The sequence below is a fragment of the Homo sapiens genome, chromosome 4, assembly GCF_000001405.40.
Source record: "Homo sapiens chromosome 4, GRCh38.p14 Primary Assembly".
Lineage (NCBI taxonomy): Eukaryota > Metazoa > Chordata > Mammalia > Primates > Hominidae > Homo > Homo sapiens.
The window spans coordinates 90,923,327-90,945,111 of NC_000004.12; the positions used below are offsets into that span (position 1 = coordinate 90,923,327).

At 32.7% G+C, this 21,785-nt stretch overlaps 1 protein-coding gene across 25 annotated transcripts in view; it reads left to right on the top strand.

Annotated features, from left to right (window-relative positions):
* CCSER1 (coiled-coil serine rich protein 1) overlaps window positions 1-21,785 on the top strand; it is a 1,477,902-nt gene that overhangs the window by 795,933 nt on the left and 660,184 nt on the right. For 18 of the 25 annotated variants that reach the window (XR_001741218.2, XM_011531936.2, NM_001145065.2 and 15 more), the window contains one exon: window positions 44-121. The exons of 1 other annotated variant lie outside the window; for it this stretch is intronic. Coding sequence is in view for 21 of the 24 variants with exons in the window: in XM_011531936.2 (XP_011530238.1) it covers window positions 44-121 (78 nt within the window). In the remaining 3 variants the exon portion in view is untranslated. Of the gene's footprint in view, window positions 1-43; window positions 122-15,349; window positions 16,485-21,785 lie in introns of those variants that run through there. 6 more of the 25 variants (XM_011531945.2, XM_011531948.2, NM_001377987.1 and 3 more) reach the window with 3 other exon arrangements.

Here is a 21,785-nt window from a genome sequence, read left to right on the forward strand (position 1 = left end):
CACCTCACCAACAATGTGTTGTTGCTGTTTTTTCATTTTGCAGGGAAAAGTCCGGCATTTACAGAAGGCTTTTGCTTCAAGAGTAGATAAATCCACACAGACTGAACTACTATGCTATGATGTAAGTAGCTCTGTAAAACCATTTTTAACTTCATTATTGGCATTCAGACCTCCACAGCTTATTGACCTCTGCGGCTGCTGTGTCCATGCATTGATTTAACAGGATTTAGCGGTGCACCATTCATCTTTTGCTCTTAAACAATCCCCAAATACCTCCTGGAACTAAAAAAGATGATTACAGGCACCAACTGGCATACCAATGCCTTATTAATTTTTTTACATCAACAATTTTGGTACAGTCTTTTGAATTAGTGTATTTGCAGACATGTAGAAGATATGCATTAGAAGACTAGGGCAATTTATTTTTTAAGAAAATATTTATTTATTAACAGTTTAATAAAGTTACTATGTTTGTAATCACCAAAGGTGAAGCACATCATTTTTATATGCAGACACTTAAAGGCAAAAACAACTTTGAAGAAAAATTTAAAATAATGTTTTAGCTCTTGGGCTTCAGTGCAGGCAGCAGAAAGTAATTTAATTGAAAGTATTTTTCTGTTAGTGCGAAATACTTGTTGAACTGTCAAAATAGGATTGTAAAACATGTTTTAATACAGTATTACATCTAGTAACACTGGATGATTTGGGAAAACATTGATATAAATGCTCATTTTTTTCTTAAACACAGCTAAGAAATTTGCATTTTGCCTAAGTTCATGACTTTCAACTTCCTCTTGATGAAAAAATAAAGGAATTAATTTGATCTTGTAGCTAACATGTATGAGGACCCCCTCTTCTATTTAAAAACATTTATTCTTATTTTTAGCACTTTGCTGATAAGTAGAAATAAAATAGAAATAATTTTAAGTTTTATGATGATGAATAATGATAAATTATATGTTTATCTGCATGGTCTCATTATGTTAAATAACAAACTTGGATGCTACTTTTGTGTTGCCGTGCAAATTACATTAATTTAATATAAAACTACTTTTCTTTTAGGAAATAAACCAAAGCTTTGAATCACTGCACAAATTGTTTTCAAGTGTTTATATACCTTATTTTCTTAATTAAAAACAACACTAAAAAATATGAATTAAAAATTATTCAATTATGTTTATTTTAAGGTATATTTACTCTAGATATCTAAATTCTAGATCTCAATTTTGTAACTGAAATGCTTCTAGCAGTGTTGTATGTTACTTAAATTATGTTGACATCTATTTTTAAAAAGAAATAATTTTATGGTCCTTAAAGAGTATTTACCACAAGTAGTTCAATATTGGTCTTTTGTGAGGGATTTTTTTCCTGTCTAAAAACTTGGTTTTTTGTTGTTGTTGTTTGTTTGTTTGTTATTTGAGATGGAGTCTCACTCTGTTGCCCAGGCTGGAGTGCACTGGCGCGATCTCGGCTCACTGCAACCTCCGCCTCCTGGGTTCAAGTGATTCTCCTGCCTCACCATCCCAGGTAACTGGGATTGCAAGCACCCGTCATCACTGCCGGCTACTGTTTGTATTTGTAGTAGAGACAGGGTTTCATCATGTTGGTCAGGTTAGTCTCGAACTCCTTACCTCAAATGATCCACGCGCCTTAGCCTCCAAAAGTTCTGGGATTACAGGCGTGAGCCACCACCCCCTGCCTAAAAATTTTTTAATGAAAATATTTATATGCTAGTCCTTAGGATATAAACCCAATATGTGTTTTACAAATAACAACCTTTGTATCTATAAATCTGCAAGACAGAGAGTTTGTTCAATATGAGTAATAAAATCATAATTTTCATTAAATCTTATTCTAATATAACATCATACAACACAGGGACTACAAGTTAAATTAGAATCCACTTACTTCAAGCCCCCAAATTTTTAAATAAGTTAACTGAATTTCAGAAAAATGAAGTCACTTTTTTACTACTACATGACGTTTGTTGGGAGTCTAGTCTTTTATTTAAGGTAATGTGCTTGGAAAAGAGAAAACAAATATACATTTGGATTCAAATTTTCAATTTTATTTAAAGAAACAATGTTTGGGAGACAGAATTCTAACTTTTTAAATGACAATATAAATATAAAATGTAAGACTTTTATGTAATACCATCAATTTTATGTGACACTATTAGTGATTGCTTGTGAGAATTGGTTACTGAGGAATGAACGACACCTCTGGGGAAATGACTTATCTGTGGATAGTTATTCTAACACCATAGTTACCAGCAGCCTCTTACGTATTTGCCTATCCATGCCTCATAATTTTCTAATTTCTATGATATTTCTTATATCAATGTCATTTAGTTCTCTAAGCATGAAAATAAAAATGTAAAATGAAGCCATGGTAATTGTTAATCCTCATTAAATCTTCAATGTTCCTAGCTTGTTTCGTATGTTACAGTGATAGTTTAATGCATCTTACTGTATTGAATTAAGGTTAAAGAATAATACTTTTTTTGACAATGAGTCCCTAAAGAATCCCCTTCATATGAGCAAATTAAATTTCTAAAATATGCATGTAAAAACTTATGAAAGTAACTAGATGTAACTGTAATACTAAACTTTAGGGCATCTTGCATGTGAAAAACTGGGGATGGAAATACTTAAACAAATCAAAAATAAGTAAAACACTTTCAGTATCATAAACTACATAACTGGAAATATATGATTCATAAACTGTACAATTTCTCCCATGACCAGGATATATTTTCAATATTTATTTGTAAATATTTTTTAATATTTTATATGCAATAATAATCATTTATTCTTCAATTTATAGTATTTTGTTCTGTTTCACCCTCAGGAAATATAGTTTCACCTTATTTTAACTTTCAAAAATATTTTATAAACACATGTATCTATTTATAACTTGCAAATTGTGTTTATTCAAAAACAAGAAACATCTCGTGGAAATCTTGTACATTATGGATGTTTCTTATACTCTTTTGTTTTCTTCTTAAAGCTGCCAACATTAGCCACAAATTGTTCTTTACAGATTATTATGGATCATGTTTTATTGGTATGAGTATCAGAATATATGATACTACATGTCATCATTAATATAATTTCCTTGGGAAAATAGCTGTTGCTACACATTTTGCTTAAGATAAGAAATAGAATTCCCAGAAAACATTAATTATAATAAAATCTATTAAAAATTCACTGCCATGAATAAGTTTAAAGATTTGTACAATAAACTACTTTTATCCTGCACCAGATTTGTCAGGAGACATGAAACTAATGTTAGTTTACAATGTGCTCTGACTTCTAACGCACATGGCAAGACTTAAAAAAAAAATTCAGAGTGTCTCAGCACAGGCCTATAAACACCATAGTTTTTGTGATGAGGGAGATTGTTAAATAAATGATGAATGTGTCTTAAATAATCAATGCCAATTTAACCTCTTCCACGTTCCTCTGTCTGCACAGGCTTAGTTTATTGAAAGATCAAAGAATAATTTCTTAGGTGTCACTGTGTTATTAAAACAGGATAGAAGATGAATAGATGTAGTTAAGTAGCATTGCTGCCCATTTCAAGATTACATTGAGGGGTAGGGAAGTTTTTTATCTAATTACATCAAATGTATAAACAGATGTTTCAATGTAGTATATATGCTGTCTGTAAATATTTTATAGCTTGAACTACTACAAATAGCATTTTGATTACAATATTTGAGAATGCATAATCAAAATATTCTAAAGATCTTATATTCTGACAGTGAGAAATTCAGATACTTTCATTAATTTGACATCTTTATGGACAGCTTATGTCCTGAAGAAGATTGTTTTTGAAAATGTGACAGGTTGATTGACTTTAAGTTCAAGTTTTCTTTTCAGATAATGCCTGAAATTGACACAGAATAGTCAGAGGATTTAAAAATTTCTCTGAGCCACAAATGCACTAAAGTTTTAAGTAAAGCAGTTTCTTCCTTCATTAGCATGTGTTTTACACTAACATTTAATAAGAAGCCATTTTTAGTCTTGAACTTGGCAGTGTTTTCTTTAAGACTTCTGATGTTATCAGGTATTTCATTAAATATTAAATTATTATTAATTACTGTTAGTTTAAATATCATTAGGGGTTTCAATTTGGCTTCTTAAAATGGACTGAACTGTGGCATCACGTATTTTGTCTCATTCATGTATGAATAAAGCATAAATCAGTTTGTTAATGGATGCTCATACCACTGTTTATTTTTTCAAATATTTTAACACACTTTCCAAATGGTGGGATTTGCTTTATAAATACAGTTTTCTACTTACACATGAGGAAAATAATATTATTTGCATTATGGATGTACACTTTGAAAAACTTTTCAATGCAATTATCTGTGTATTTCACAATCTCTGGTACTTTTCTCAGATTTAATTTTGGTGGTGCTCCTGGCGCAGTTTGCAGATAGTCCTAAAAAATATGAAAATAGTTCATCATGCTGTATTCATGTTAGGAATAAGAATGATTAGTTTTTACTGTAATTGTTTTATTAGATAGAGCAGAAGTGTTTTTTGTGCTTGTGCTAATGTATTATGTCTGCCTGTGGATTAAGCCCTGTTCTAAGAATTGAATAACTATCAATTAGGCTTTCTCATCATGCTGCTAATATACTGTAGTTTATTAAAGTTTCTGTTTTGCTCTTATTTATTACTTCTATCTTCTTAAATTCAGTACTTCTCCTGATCATGTATGAATGTGCTCTGGCATTTATTAGAAAAAAGTGACTCCCCCGCACATGCTTCATGTATTTATATTTACTTATCTCAAATATTTCTGTTTATTTTTACAAATTAAAAAACATTTAGTTTTAAAAATTGAGTTATATATTCCAGGTTTGCTTATGGGCTATAATTTTTCCCATTACATTAAAGATAACTTTTAGATAAGAACATTGTTTAAAAACATCTATCATGTTTAAAAACATGATTATCTGCCACGGGTGCTTATTAACATGTAATGGAGTCACATCTTATCCAGTGGTAATGTTCTAAGGGCATCACTTTTGAAAATTTATTCATGCTTTCATTCAACAAATATGACTAAGTCCCCTCTAGCAGCCAGCTCCATTCTAGGTCCTTGGAATATATCCTTTAACCAAACAAAAAATATTCCTGCATGGAGCTTGCAACTGGTGAGGGCATACTTAAAAATCAATAAGCTAAGTAAATAAGCAAATTATATAATGCATTTGAAGGTGCTGAAAGCAATGTGAAAAATAAAAATAGCACAGAGAAAGAATAATTCTAAGTGTATAGTGGGAGGGTCAAGACTATGATCAGAAATTTTAAATAGGGTGATCTAGGGAGGTCTGAGTTTGAGATTTGAGACTTAAAGAAGGTGAGGTGAAAATCGTGTTTAATCAAAAATTCCTTTGTGATGTGCTTCTTGAAAATTCCTTGACGTCCCTTCAGTCAGTAAGAACTAAGCACTTTGTCATTGCTGGAGCCCTAGATAAGAATAGCTTCATTTACACATCATGTAGTATAAAAATTATATTCTAGATTATAAAATCTAGATTCAGGCTCAGTACATCAAGAGACTCACACTAGAGGAATACGGTCTACCTGAGGGAACAGCCGACGCAACTTCTATATCATATTCATCTAGCATAAGCACTGAGAAGAAATCTGCGTAAAATCAACCACACAGTATTAATTACATTTGCTTCTCCTCTTTCTGTTTGTTGCTTGCATTCACCCTACCCTCTTTTTTCCCTGAACACTATTCTTCTTCCAGAGCAGAGTTGGATTTATATGCTTTAAATGTATAATTAGACCTCATTGTATATCAGCGTATCCGATTTATCAGAGGTGTGCTGGTGAAACTAAACAAATTTAGAAAGCACTCAATGATTACTTGGTGAAAAAAAATTAACTAAAAGCCACTAATTTTTTATAATTCTAAAAATTTATAACAAATTAATATGCATTGTTTCATTCACAAAACATACAGGTATGGATATTGCTATATACTATATTATTTTCTATAGTACTTTTTTATATCCAACAAGTATTTAAAAATTACTGCGTTATGCCTTTTAGAATGAAGTATTAAACTCAAATCAGCATAGACAACTAGTAATGTCTAAACATAAGTGCCAACATGCAGTTGTTTTTATAGTGTGGCACTGAATGATTCTTTTTAAAATCTTGAATCTTTGCTTAGGAGCCAGATCCCCCTGGACTGCCACCAGGTCTTTAATTCTGCAGTGACTACATAGAATTAGTATCAGTGAACCAAAAGCCCTTTTGTTAAGAGAATGTGTGGTTGAGATCGTTATGAGGAAAACAGCAAGGCTAGATGTCATCTATGAAAGTTCTTATAATTATAAAAATATTCATTAAGATGAAACAGCACACGAGGATGGGGAGAGAATGAGTTGTTGCTGGTCCAAGGTTATAAAGCTTGAGTTGCAGATGAAATAAATTTTGAGATCTGCTGTACAGCAGGGTGACTATAATTAATGATAATGTATTATGTATTTCAAAATAACTAAATTTCAAATGTCTCACTACAAAAAAAGATAAGTAATGGGATGGTTGATGTGTTAATTTGTTTGATTTAATCATTCCACATTGTATACATATATCAATATCAAAATATCACATTGTATGCCATAAATGTATACAATTTGTCAGTTAAAAATAATGTTAACTTAAAAAAATTGAAAAGAGTACACACGCAGGAGGTTTTATATAGTTTAAAATAGTAATAATAGATATCATATTTGCTGAAAATTATGTTGTGGTAGTGTTGATAAAAGAGAAGAAAAATACATATTTGTTGAATGGAAAATTTCTCTCTGTCCACTTCTACTTCCAACTCATAGATTGCTACCTTTATAGGAAATCTAAATTTAATTTCAAATTTTTCTAATATTTTTCCTAGACTGCCTTAGGAGTCTCTTAGAGTATCTAGTGTACTAAGTGAGATTATATAATAAGAAGTCCTGGCTGGGCAGGGTGGCTCACGCCTGTAATCCCAGCACTTTGGGAGGCTGAGGCAGGCGGATCACGAGGTCAGGAGATCGAGGCCATCCTGGCTAACACGGTGAAACCCCATCTCTACTAAAAATTTAAAAAAAAAATTAGCCAGGCGTAGGTGGTGCACGCCTGTAGTCCCAGCTACTTGCTACTCAGAGACTGAGGCAGGAGAATGGTGTAAAACCAGGGAGGCGTAGCTTGCAGTGAGCCGAGATCGTGCCACTGCACTCCAGCCTGGGAGACAGAGAGAGACTCTGTCTCAAAAAAAAGAAAAAGGAAAAGAAAAAAAAAGTCCTTACAGAAAGAATTTTTACCACCCTTTGGAAGGAAACACCAAGTATAAGCTTGAAGTATCTCTCATTATCTGTTTACAAAGCATCAATCAATTGCAGCTAATTATTATAATCTGTATGAAGCTAAGTTCTATGACTTAGTTCAGGTACTTGTTTAAAGTAAATTTTTGTGGACTTATATTAATTTATTTCTATCAAAAACATTGCTTTCCTTTGATGTGGTCTACAATCAGGAAAAATTTGCAAAAGGAAATTTATCCTTATTTTATATATATATATATATATATATATATATACACATGACATATATATACATACATGATACATATATGTACATATATATTGACATACACACATAAATATCCTTGAAATATATATATATATATCTTTGACATATATTTGAAATATATATATTCTTGGAATATATATTATATCCTTGAAATAGATGTATCTCCTTGAAATATGTCATTGAAATATATATCTGTACATACACACCAAAACATCGTCTATTAATACACACACACATGCACATATATACACACACACACACAAATAAGACATAGGTACAAAAAGTTTGCTTTTATTTGATGTATTATTCCTATTATAGAAGTTAGAATTAGATGCATTCTTTAATTTTTCTGTGTATATAATAAGAATTACTGGGAATCATCTCTTACATTAACACAATGTTTAAAATGCTTATTTGAATTTTAATATGATTAAATTGAATTTATATAACTATTAGCTAGGAATATTTGCTGTCCATTTTATTATACTTGGTACATATTAATATAAAGATGATTTCTTTTTAAGGTGGTATTCAAATTAACTCTCAGAAACACTAATTTTTTAATCGCAGAAATCATAAACCCATATACCTTCTAATGAAATAGTGATAACAATTTTTTCCGTAACATAGAAGATGGTATTTTGTTTTTCACAGTACACTAGCTCATGGCTTTTCTGTTTTGTCATGGTAGAGCTTTTGTTTCACTAGGCAATCAGATTTCATTAAGTTACCTAATTTTTCCCTCAGTTTTCTCATGAGATCTGCTATTCCCTTTGACAACTCTACTTGTACTTGATTTAGATGCACAAAAAGGGATAATATGTACCAAGAGCATTGGTCCTCAGTGTGGTCTTTGTCCATCAAAATGTTTTTCAGCTACTTGATTAATGCTTTGGGATTTGAGAATAGCTAGCTTCTACCTTTTGCCAGTGAAATAACTGATATTGATTTGAGAGGAAAAAAGTCATTGAAATGTTTACATTAATAGTGTTTCAAAATAAAACTGTAAAGGGATTTTTAACTTATAAAAAGCCATAGAGAGCTAAAGGGAAAATATTCCATAAATGTTTGGCTTAATAACAAGCCAACAAAAGAACATGGATTTTCAGAATATTATATTAGAAAGTTTCCTAAAAGAAAGCCACATGTATCATTAACCTTATGCTCTGTAAAATAAGAATACCAGGAAATTTTACTCTTTTTTCATGCCACATTGTTAAGATGGTAATTAGAATTTTAAATTTATAAAGTTGATCTATTATAGAGAAAATTTATACCAAAAAGAATGTAATTTGCATTTCAGAGTACTGAAAGCATCAAAGTTCTATACATACCAGAATTATTTCAGGTTTGCCATTATTTTATGAGTTCTCTGTTTATAAATGGCTTTATAGATTTGAATTTAAACTATCACATTAGAGGACATTTATTTAAAGTGTGGTCTAATATAGAGTAACTTTCTGAGAGAAAAGTACTTAAACAGGTTTAGCATTTTGTTGTATTGGAAAAGTATACCCTAAATATGAATGAATTATTCATAAGCCAAAGAAAGTGCTAATATAGAATGAAAAGTATTATGTTTTTAAGTTTTGGGGGTTATAAGAAACACTTAGAGCCCAGCGCGGTGCCTCACACCTTTAATTGCAGCACTTTGGTGGCCCAGGCGGGCGAATCACCCGAGGTCAGGAGTTCGAGACCAGCCTGGCTAACATGGTGAAATCCCTTCTCTACTAAAATTATAAAAATTAGCCTGGCGTTGTTGCGGACAACTGTAATTCCAGCTACTCAAGAGGCTAAGGCAGGAGAATCGCTTGAACCCGAGAGGCAGAGGTTGCAGTGAGCCGAGATTGTGCCACTGTACTCCAGGCTGGGTGACAGAGCAAGACTCCGTCTCCAAAAAAAAAAAAAAAAAGAAACAATGTTGTTCCGTCTCAAGAAAGGAAGGAAGGAAAGAAAGAAGGAAGGAGAAAGAAGGAGAAAGAAAGAAAGAAAGAAAGAAAGAAAGAAAGAAAGAAAGAAAGAAAGAAAGAAAGAAAGAAAGAAAGAAAGAGAAAGAAAGAAAGAAAGAAAGAAAGAAAGAAAGAAAGAAAGAAAGAAAGAAAGAAAGAAAGAGAAGGAAGGAACGAAGGAAAGAAGAAAAGAAAGAAAGAAAAGAAAAGAAAGAAAGAAACAATGTTGTTCCAAAAATGTTACCTAGAAGTGTGTGTGTGTGTGTGTGTGTGTGTGTGTGTGTGTGTGTGTGTGTGTGTGATTTTATTTTATTTTTTTTTTTGAGACGGAGTCTCGCTCTGTCGCCGAGGCTGGAGTGCGGAGGCGCGGTCTCGGCTCACTGCAATCTCCACCTCCCGGGTTCACCGCATTCTCCTGCCTCAGCCTCCTGAGTAGCTGGGACTACAGGCGCCCGCCACCACGCCCGGCTAATTTTTTGTATTTTTAGTAGAGACGGGGTTTCACCGTGTTAGCCAGGATGGTCTCAATCTCCTGACCTCATGATCCGCCCACCTCGGCCTCCCCAAGTGCTGGGATTACAGGCGTGAGCCACCGTGCCAGGATGAAGTGTTTTTTTTTTTTAATTTATGAAAAAGATGCTACAGACCCTAATTGAGTCTGAAAAGATTAACTTTTCTTTGCAGGAGTATCAGTAATATGACACAATTATATGTCATAAAAGTACAAAACTAAAAAGAATTTATGTAATTCATAAAAATGTAAAAAAATACTTGGTGTGAGTGTATTATTTTCTATACTTTTGGAAGTTTTTTTTTTTCTCCACTTTGGTTTTAGTATGTTAAAATAATCATATAAATGCTGGATTATGTATAAATATATTACAAGTACATATACATGTCTTCATATATGTTTTTGACATGTCAAATAGATGAATATTATTTTACTGTAATGTTAATGAATGCATTTTACTATTCATAATTTAAAGGACTGAATATCATTCAATCACGTGAATATTTTAAACATTTTTTACATTTTGTTTTAAATTTTCTCCTACTAAATAATAACAATGGCACATATCCTTTAGAAGAGAATTTTGAAAACTCTAATATAATTAAAGTCTTATCCTACACCTAGCAATGGTATCTCTAGAAGTTTAACCTGAACATACACTTTCATATGTACCAAATAATATTTTCATAAGGTTTTCTTTATGATCATTTTTTGTAACAGTTAAAGAAGAAAAACAACACAAATAACAATAGGAGGCTATTTGATAATGGCTCATTATCAAATGAGTTACAGTATAAGGACAAAGACAAATGCAAAAAACATCTAAAACTTCAATCAGAAACAAAATTATATTACTATTTTTATAATAATTGTGACGTTATTTGTGTGTTATAACATTTAACAACCAAATCTAATGTTTCTAGCATCCAAGTTATTTCAGGATAAGAGAAAATAAACATAACTATGAAAATACAAGTTAAAGGAAAGAACCTGATAATGTTATATTCAAATGTAAAGTGTCAACATGAACTTATTATTTGCTAATTGAAGAATATTTTCTTCTTTTGCCCCTGAAAAAGTATAAACCTTTCAAGCTTATAGGCTTAACTTTCAGTAGTCAGGAAACAGGAAGTAGGTGGATAAGTTAAACAATACCATGAATCAAAAATCAGACAAAATCCAAATGGGCAGTATTCTACAAGACACCTCATGGTATCCCTAAAAAAGAAGATGCTATTAAAAATTGGGGGACTATCTGCTGGGCATGGTGGCTCATGCCTGTAATCCCAGCACTTTGGGAGGCCAAGGCGGGTGGATCAGGTGAGGTTGGGAGTTCGAGACCAGCCTGACCAACGTGGAGAAACCCTGTCTCTACTAATAATACAAAATTAGCTGGACATGGTGGCACATGCCTGTAATCCCAGCAACTCAGGAGACTGAGGCAAGAGAATCGCTTGAACCCGGGAGGCAGAGGTTGCAGTGAGCCTAGATTGTGCCATTGCAGTCCAGCCTGGGCAACAAGAGTGAAACTCCATCACACACACACACGCACACACACAGACACACACAAAATAGGGGACTGTCTTGATTAAGGAAACTAAACAGACATAACGACATATGAAATGCATATATATATGTATATATGTGTGTGTGTATATATATTATATATATATGATGAATAACTAGAGAGAGGGAGAGAGGACCAAAAGCAGCTATGGCAACTCTTAATTACTGAATCTAGGTGCTATGATTTCAATGTTCATTGCCTCCAACTCTCATGCTGAAATTTGATTCCCAATTGGAGATGGGGTTTAATGGGAGAATGGGGGGTGTTTGGATCATGAGAGAGATCTTTCATTAATAGATTAATGCCCACCCTGGGGGTGAGTGAGTTCTCACTCTATGAGTTCCTGAGAGAGCAGTCACCTCCCTGCTGTCTCTCCTGCTTCCTCTCGGGTAGTGAGTGTCCTGTCTGCACGTACCGGCTCCCCTTCCATTTTTGCCACAAGTGGAAGTAGGTTGAGACTTTCACCAGATGCCCAATCTTACAGCTTGCATAATCCTGAGCCAAATAAACCTTTTTTAAAAATAAATAAACTACCCAGTCTCAGGTGTTAGAGCAATGCAAAATGGACTAAGATATGAGGTGAAGGCTACACAGGTGTTAATACTACAAGTCTGTTTTTCTGTATCTTAAAAGTTTTCTCAATAAAGGGAATGGTTTCCCAACTTAAAAATATGCAAAAATATTTAAATGGCATTATAGTAAGATGTAATATATGGCCAGGACTAAATTGGGTTGGGAAGTCCAGCAGTAACATGTATTTGAGGGACATCTGAAGAAATTTGAACAAGGATTGCTATTAGATGTAATGAAAACTTATTTACATGAACAGTTTAGAGGTTACTACTGGGGAAAAAAAGGCAAGTAAAGTGAAAAACACAATGTACTATGTGGTTCTCTTTTTAGTTAAAAAAAATAAGTGCAAATGAATCCAGAAAGCTTGGTATAGTGATGATCTCTGGTTTGTAGGAATGTACCATTTTATTTCCTTATTTTTGTTTATCTCTTTTTGTCACTTTTTGCAATGAACATATGTATTTTTATAATAATAAAATATACTTTCAAAGTAGAAATATATTATTTAAAAAAGAAAGCTCATCACTGCTAACATGAATATGAAATTATTTGCGCAATGTATTTACTTTCTATTCAAATCTACTTTCTTACAAAATAAAATAACTTGGAAAATTTTGTGGAAACAGAATTTAATGACAATTTTGTTTCTAAAATGTAATTATTAAAAATAAATGTTAAATATTGTAGAATTTTTCTTTCTAATTTGACAATATATTGAATGCATTATACCTTAAAGCCCAAGAAGATTAACCTATTTTGTAACTGATTTTCCTAGTTTATAATATCCCCAGAGTGGTAAATCATAAAAAAGAATCTTTCAAATTATTATTTTCACTACAATGTAGTCACAGGAAGCCATTTGTTCTCATTAGGTGAACTTTACTATTTCCTTGCAGTTGTCTTCATGTTCTACTTGCTTAAAATGACACAGATGGATTAAGTTTTTTTTGTCCACTTCACATCACAAATACTAAAGTATTAAAACTTTTATGGAAAGAGAAATGTTAGTATCATATATTTTCATTACATGTGTGTCTCTGAACATATTCAGGCTATTATGGTATTTTTCCCTTCATTTTACTATTTTAAAATTAAAAAGTGGATCTGGGTTAGACTTTCATTAAGTATATGAATGTTGGGAACCTTAAAATACACAGAAAAACAGAATTCCAGATTTCTAAAATGTATAATATAACATATAAAATATATTCTCTCTGTCTTTCACATTCACTCAACTAGTATTTGTGTAATAAATACTGAATGGCAGGCATCTTCTTAATGTTTAATTCTTAGTCTTAAAGATTTTGCAGACCTTTTTTAAAGAAAATGGTTAGTAATAACGTATCTGCATCTGTGTGTAACATACAGTTATAGTCCTGGTGTTCCTTTTATTACCTCTATTCATTTATAAAGTTATGTAAAAGAAAAAAAAAGAGTAAGAGATATTCCAGACACTGAGATTGTAGCAGTGAACACCAAGCATACACAACCAGACAAGTTTTTTTGTCTTCATAAACCTCATATTCTAGTCAATGAAGACAGGCAGTAAACTAAAAACCAAAGAAGTAAAAAAGAGAATTTCACACCGTATTAAGGGCATAAAGGAGATAAACAGAAAGATGACATTAAGAGAAACCACGTGAAGGGAAGGAGCTACTGTGTAGAAAAGAGCCATCAGGGAAGATGGTTCTGCCAATGTTGCATTTGAGCTGGAACTCGAGTGATGGGTCACTGTTCACAGAACCAGAACAAGCATGGTGACAGGGAAAATCATACTACCAAGAACATTCAACTCTCAATCCTGCTGAGTGCTTCAGGATTTCCTCATATTGCTTTTGGTCTTGTCATGTTACACATTCTAATCTATATAACACACAGATAAATTTGCCGAAAATAAAAAATAAATGCAAACACACAGCTTACGTCGTGTTGTATTTCTAATTTGAAACACACACACACACACACACACAAACACACACACACTGAATGGCTCAATAAGGCATATAGGGTAGAATCCACACTCCCCAAGCCAGCATCCATGGCTGCTAAAATTGTACCCTCCCCTATTTATGCAATTAGAACACCTACTGTTTTCAAACTAAAACCTTTTATTCCATCAACACTGATTCATTACAAACTGTTAATCATTTTCTAAGTTTTTAGGTTTCATTTTGGTTTCTTTTTAACCATTTCATCTGGAATACCTCTGCCCCACAATATATCTGTATTTTAAGCCAAGCTCCAATTTCATATCCTTGATTGGACAACGCAAACAAGGAGTGATTTCTCTTTCTGTAGAACTCCCTCAGCAGTTATCAGTTCTATTTAACCTACCTTTACAGTTACCAGTCCTATATAATGTTGCCAGTTTCCTATATTAACATGTATCTGTCCTATTGATTATAACTTACCATCTTTGTAGTATGGCTCATCCTTTCATATATTCATTTATATCACTCTAACTAAACTTTTACATTCCTGGGAGCAGATATCATATTCTATGCTTCTTGCAAATTATACTTCTTTTCATATATATTACCAGCACAAAATGAAGTCTCTTTTTGTAAAAAGGGTGACATATTTTGAAATGTCTTGTATTTCTTATTACTTAAAATTGCAATAAAGTTTAGAGACTAAAATATAATAATAAGATAATAATTGTTGCAGATTAGCAAAATTCTGTTGAAACTTTGTGTTTATTTAGTACTTTGGATGGTGACTACGGGTTGCAAAAATACTAGGACAGCCACGTGAGACTTATGTAGTGCTTAATTATTTAATTTTCTTGCAGTTTTCTTTAAGATGGAAGAATACATAAAGAAAAAAAGTTTATTAGAACTTGTTTTTGTACTCTAATTATAAAACCAAGGGAATGAAAATATTTGCTAATTAATCTTCCCTCTTTAATCTCATGTTTGGTAATAGAGCATGTTTAATTGGAAGTTGGGAGCCTATAAGCATTACTAATATATTTGTTATAAATGTTAAGAGCAATTTTTGATTGAGAAAATCATAAATAGAACCGTTTTATGTTGGTCTGTGTTTGTTAAAAGTGTGTGAACATTTAAAATATTCATATTAAGTAAAATTTCATTTTATTTTATTGATTTCATTCATTTCTTTTTGTTTTCTTCTTTTCAAGGCCCTGTGGAATCCTACATGCACTGAAGGTTTATTTAAACCAGTACTTATTTCAACTTAGGTTAAATCATTATCTGACAATAAGAAATGCATCACTAATCTGTGACATGTAAAATATTGAGTAAAATCAATTTTTTCATCATTTCATATTTTAAGTATGTAATATAGAAAAATTTTCAGTTCAATTACTTCACAATTTTTGCATTTGCAAAAATCATATAAAATATTGATGAATTAAGATTCAACTAACATATTTCTGCTTTATTCTCATTGTATTTTTAAAACAAAAATAGATTTTGTTTAAAAAATTCTTTCTATATGTAAATATTCTAAAATGTAATATTCCACTTGGCACTAAGTATTTTTGTTCACTCTTCTCATCCATGTCATTGGTCTCCCTTGTTATAGTCTTAATTTAATTTCATCACATATTCTTTGTAGATTAGATCAGTTTGAAAACAATGCCTTTAGTGTCTTCCATCTTAGTAGGACATTTCCTACTGAAGAACAAAATTATCTACAGTCTTTTTTCCCTCGCATCAAGACCAAAATATGAAAGCAGTATGTCTTTAATTAGAATAAATAATGAAGAGTCTTACTCTAACTACAGAAAATATAACACCTGTTTAGATTCCTAAATAGTTGAAGATGGTTTATTGGAAATTAACCTCATATTAAAGGGAGTCTCCTGAATGTATCCTAAAAGGATATCTGTGGCCTGGACTTGAATTGCTTCCTGATTTCTGTGTGTCTCTGTCTGTTGCCTTTGCATAACAGGTCACTTTAATTATCAAGTGACCCGGTGGCTACAAGGCACTCATGAATGTTGCAGTTTACTGCAAGGATAGGTGACAGAGATAGACAGCCCAAAAGAATGGCTCAATGTTGTGGTCAGGGTTCAGGGCAATAGAAATGCCATAGAGCCAAGAAGAAGAAAGCAGGTTTTACTGAGAGTTCTACCTGTTGGGCAAACAGACAAGGAAGTAATCATGGTTAATGGTGGTAACCTTTATAAATATGTTATAAAATTAATTAAATTATTTCAATCATTATGTAACATGTATTATGAATCATAAATGCTGGGTGCAAAACATGGTATTAAAATAAAAACTATAAATATATTTATTTACACAAAATGGTGTATTTGCCCTTGTTGATTTTGCCTCTTAAAACACCCTCCGTGATCTAAAATACAAAAACATTTTTTGTTTTTCTAACAGTTTTCTAGAGTTCCTTCTTTATCCTATTCTTATCTCTTTCTTTTTATTGTCTTATTTTATACTTAAAACCTTTAAATGTAGATAATGCAAAACTCCATCCCCTTAAATTAAAGCACTCCCCTGATAAAGGTTTTTATCTACATGAATGGTCAATACTGTATTATCTTGAAGAAGCAAGAATTCAATTGAAGATCTTTTACCAGGCTACCAAGACAAAATAATTTGTATTAGCAACTGAAGTAAGTCAATAAAGAAAGGTACATTTTTTCCTCAAAAGCAATTTAGCAGAAGCTTTAACTGCAGACAAGAAAAGGTCACCTAACTAGGTACAATTTTATGATTTCTTTTTAATACCAGCAAAACATTATTTTTCTTCCCTCCCTCCCTTCCTCCCTTCCTTCCTTCTTTCCTTCCTTCCTTATCCCTCCCTTCTCCTCCTTTCTCCTTTTATTCTTTCCTTGTAATTGAATCAATTCTAAATATACATCAGTAAACATGTTTACATATCAATAATTTTATTTTCAAGGGGAAATATTTTCAGACTTTCTCACAGTGTTCATTATATAATTTGTCCATTAGACTCTTAAAGTGTTTTATAAATATTTATTTGATTACATTAAAAGTGAAATTAAAATAGGGATTAACGGGGATGTTGTTTTTGTTTTTAGAAAAATGCGTGAGAACTGTTGTAATTTTTGTGCTATATTCCAACGTGTAAAAAAATTATGGTTGATAATTATTTCCCAAAAGGGGGACAAGAGACATCAGTATTTATTGATCAAAGGAACATTATTTTCTGCTGTTATGCCAGCATGTTTGTCCAAAATGTTCTCACAGTTATTAATTCAAAATATAAGATTGAGCAAACTTGTCGTCATCTTTCAAATAAAGAAACTAAAATTTGAAGAAGTCGAGTAACTTTCTCAAATTCATATAGCTTTTCTAACAAAAGACAAAGACATAGATTGTTCTCATATGCCCCAGACCAAAAGTCAGGGTTTTGTTTTGTTTTCCTGATTCCAAAATGCTGGTGGGTTGTAGAATAGCAGAATTAAATGTGATGTATGCATTGATTACATATGCACATATATAATTGTGTATTATGTATACATAATATTACTAAGCTTGAATTTTCAAGTACTCTTTATGAACTAGGGATAATTGCAATGGTAAACACTTACTATGTGAATGCTACCTACTATGCCTAAGGTGTGAAATGTATGAGTTAAGGGAATTATTTTATAAGAGTGAGAATTATTTATACAAATATAGAGAAATGCATGGAAGGAAAGCCATGGACCCTTTTGCTAGGTACTTCAATGACTATGAACATATTTTATTTATGTTTTAAATCATTCTGACAATTTAATTTGAATCACCAAGTTTTAGAATGTAGGCACTTATCATTGTCTGTTAAGTTTATTACATATAGCTATGTTTTAAATGATTTTTTAATGAAGACCCTAAAGTAATATGTTATTATATGTAGATGTTACTATATGATATACATATGATTTTATTGTGACACACATAAAAACTTCCTTGCTGAAGTTATCCAAATTGTATCATTTTCCTTAGTTACCTAAATTTAATATTGTTTTAAATATTTATTTCTTTATAAAACAAAATGCAATTTCTTTTTCATATTTAACTTGCAACTAGAAGTAGAAATGTCCAAATTAACAAGGAGATGCTTTTCAGGTTGTATTTTGAGCTTACTTCTCCTTATAGTACTCTCCAAATACAGTTATATACTATTTTCAATTTTTAATATATAATCACTCTCTCTAAAACAAATCTCTGTCTTGTTGGTGATTTTTTAGGTAATCACCAATATTATATGCTGGCACCTTGAAAAACAAACAGTAACACTAACTCATTTTCAAACACATCAGTTTCATTTGCTATATTTACTTGAAACAAGTCTACATGTCAATGAATAGATCGATGTATATATCCCTCATTGGGGGAAAGACAAGCTATTCTTTCTTGGTGTTAATAAGCATTAAGAGTTGTTAGAATATCCTGTCTTCTATTTTTTTTTCGTTTGTTTGTTTTGTTTTGTTTTTTTTGAGACAAGTTCTGGCTCTCTCTCCCAGGCTGCAGTGCAAGTGGTGCGATCTTGACCCTGCAACGTCTGCCTCTCGGGCTCAAGCCATCCTCTGACCTCAGCCTTCCAAGTAGCTGGGACTAGAGGCACACACCATCATACTCAGCTCATTTTTTTGTATTTTTTGTAGAGATGGGGTTTCACCATGTTGCCCAGGCTGGTCTTAAACTTGTGAGCTCAAGCGATCCACCCACCACCTCGGTCTCCCAAAGTGCTGGGATTACAGGTGTGAGCCACTACGCCCAGCTGGGAAATATCCTGTCTTTTAAATGACATCTTTTGGTATCTGAATTTGCATAATGGAGAAGATTATGATAGGCTATAAAATGGGGGGAAGAAAAAATATGTAAGCATATTATTTTATCTCTTACACCAAATCGTACTTTTTGAATCTATGCATTGGTGTGCTCTTGCCTCTCTTGTGTGAAGCCTTTTTTAAAATTATTTTTCTATTTTCCTCTTTGATTTTTGTATGGGGATACACATACAAGAAATTGATGAACAAAAGTCTCAAATGATAATAAAATATTTTCTGGCTACTTTCTTACTATCTGAAAGCTGTTTGCCTCCTTAATTTGTAAACTTGTGGTCACGTTATATATGGGCACACACACACTTTTATGGGAAATGAGGGTTTCCTCATTTAAAAGCTATCTTTGTTAAAAAAAAGAAAGAAACTTGATACAGAGGAGAAAATATGTAGGTAGCATAAGTATTCTTTGGGAAGAAATAAAAATGGCAGGTGAATGCTAATTTTATCCTGATGGAGAAAAGCAATTATTGCAGCAGGGGTAAAAAGATTGCTTCTTCCCTCTAAGATATAGTTTAGATTTTTTAACTTACCTAAAAAAATTATATATATTTAATTAAATATGTATGATATATAGAATTAAATATATATTATATATAAAATGTATATATTATATAATTTTTAAATTATTTTTCATATATATATATATATTAAAGGAAGTATTCCCTCACCCCTGTAAGGAAGAATAAGCAGTAACTGAAACTTTGATGAACAGCCTGGAAGGTATATGTGCTAATAAATTTTGAATATAATGGTCGGGGAGAGTGAATGAACCTCATGCCTTCATGCTCAGGCTCTTCAGAAAACTTTCTTCCTAATGAGGCTGGCAAGATTTCTGACCTGAGAAGAAATTTCTGTGTACATTTTCACTAAAGATAACAACAGTAAGCTTGAAAGAACAAGTAACTTTGGCAAGAAATATGCTACACAGATTTTAATTTTGTTTACCTCGTGGTTCATATATTCCTTAAAAAGTTATTGTGTTCATATAGATTTAGGGTTCAATTTATATTTCTAGTACAATTTTTATAGAACGTTATTTTGTGAGTTATCCATTTTGAGATAGTGATCATCTTACAGCCTTTCGGTTGTAGCTACATGAATTTTAAGAATAAGATCCTGAAAAGTAATGACTAACCTCTTGAAAACTACCTGATCCATTTCAGTAATGCCTATGCAACATGAGTAAAACTTTACGCAATATACTAATAAACATGTACTCTAAAAGGGAGAGAGACAGGAGGCGGAGACAGAAAGAGAGAGAGAGAAAGAGGTTCTTGTTCTATCACCCAGGCTGGAGTGCAGTGGTGCGATCATGGCTCACTGCAGCCTCAACCTCCTGGGCTCAAGCAATCCTCCTGCCTCAGCCTCCCGAGTAGCTGGGACTACAAACATGAGCCACTGTGCCAGGCTAATTTTTTTTTTTTTTTTTTTTTTTTTTTTTGGAGATGGGGTCTCACTATGTTGCCTAGGCTGGTCTCAAACTACTGGCCTCAAAACATCTGCCTGCCTCAGTCTCCCAAAGTGCTGGGATTACAGGCATGAGCCACTGCCCCCAGCCTGTTACTTTTGTATCGGAAGGTAAACTTTAGAAAACAAGTAAGCAATTTGTATTGATTTAAAAAGTGAAAAATATCAGGCCGGCGTTGTGGCTCACGCCTGTAATCCCAGCACTTTGGGAGGCCGAGGTGGGCGGATTGCCTGAGCTCAGGAGTTTGCAACCAGCCTGGGCAAAACGGTGAAACCCCGTCGCTACTAAAATACAAAACATGAGCTGGGCGAGCGGCTTGAGCCTGCAATCCCAGCTACTCGGGAGGCTGAGGCAGAGAATTGCTTGAACCCCGGAAGCGGAGGTTGCAGTGAGCTGAGATGACGCCACTGCACTCCAGCCTGGGTGACAGAGCGAGACTCCGCCTCAAAAAAAAAAAAAAAAATTGAAAAATACCTAGTAGAATGCTATGTATCCATTGGAAATTTATTGTTGGTTATTAATGAAAAAAATCAATGGTGAGCTAATACAAAAGACCGCATTGTCAAATTAGACTCATACCAATCAGATATCTTACCCCAATATCAAGGCTTATTATTCATTTCACTTAAGGAACATATTATTCATGACACTTAAGGAACTCAGATGAAGCAGGAACAGGTCTGGGGTGTGGAAGGCAGCTCTCCAAGGTCTTTCATTCGACATTGAACATCCACTTTGAGATCCACAGTCATAGCTCAGATCTTTAGGAGAAGTTTTTTGGAATTACCTCACACAGCAGAGAGAGTGTTTCATTCATGAAATATCTCTATTTTATATCCCAACATTGTGGCATTTTCCAGAGTGCCATGCTCATAAATCCATAAATTCTAAGTTCATTTAGTCAAATAAGTCCTTAACCTGGGACATGCTGTTAACATTTCCATATGTAAGGACCCTCCTTCTACCAAATACTATTAGTCTATTGACCTGCAGGACTAATTTTCTTGTTGACAGAGATTAGAAGTTACCTGTTTTCTTTCTCGTGAAGACAAATCAGTTGCTATAACTCCTTCTTCCCCACCTGCTCTGTCTCCACCATTCACTCTGAGCATGATATACACCATTGACATGAATGGTAAATCATGTCTTGGATTTTTCATGTCTCTATTATTGTGAAGAAAATGCTTTATAGAAAATGTTTATCTGATCGAGACCACAGTTATTTTGGTTTCTCTTCCGTGTTTTGAATGTTTTAAAACAAGTTGAAGTGAGAGATAGGAGAGATTGCTTTTCTTGATGATTATCTTTATGTTTCCCTTCATTTTT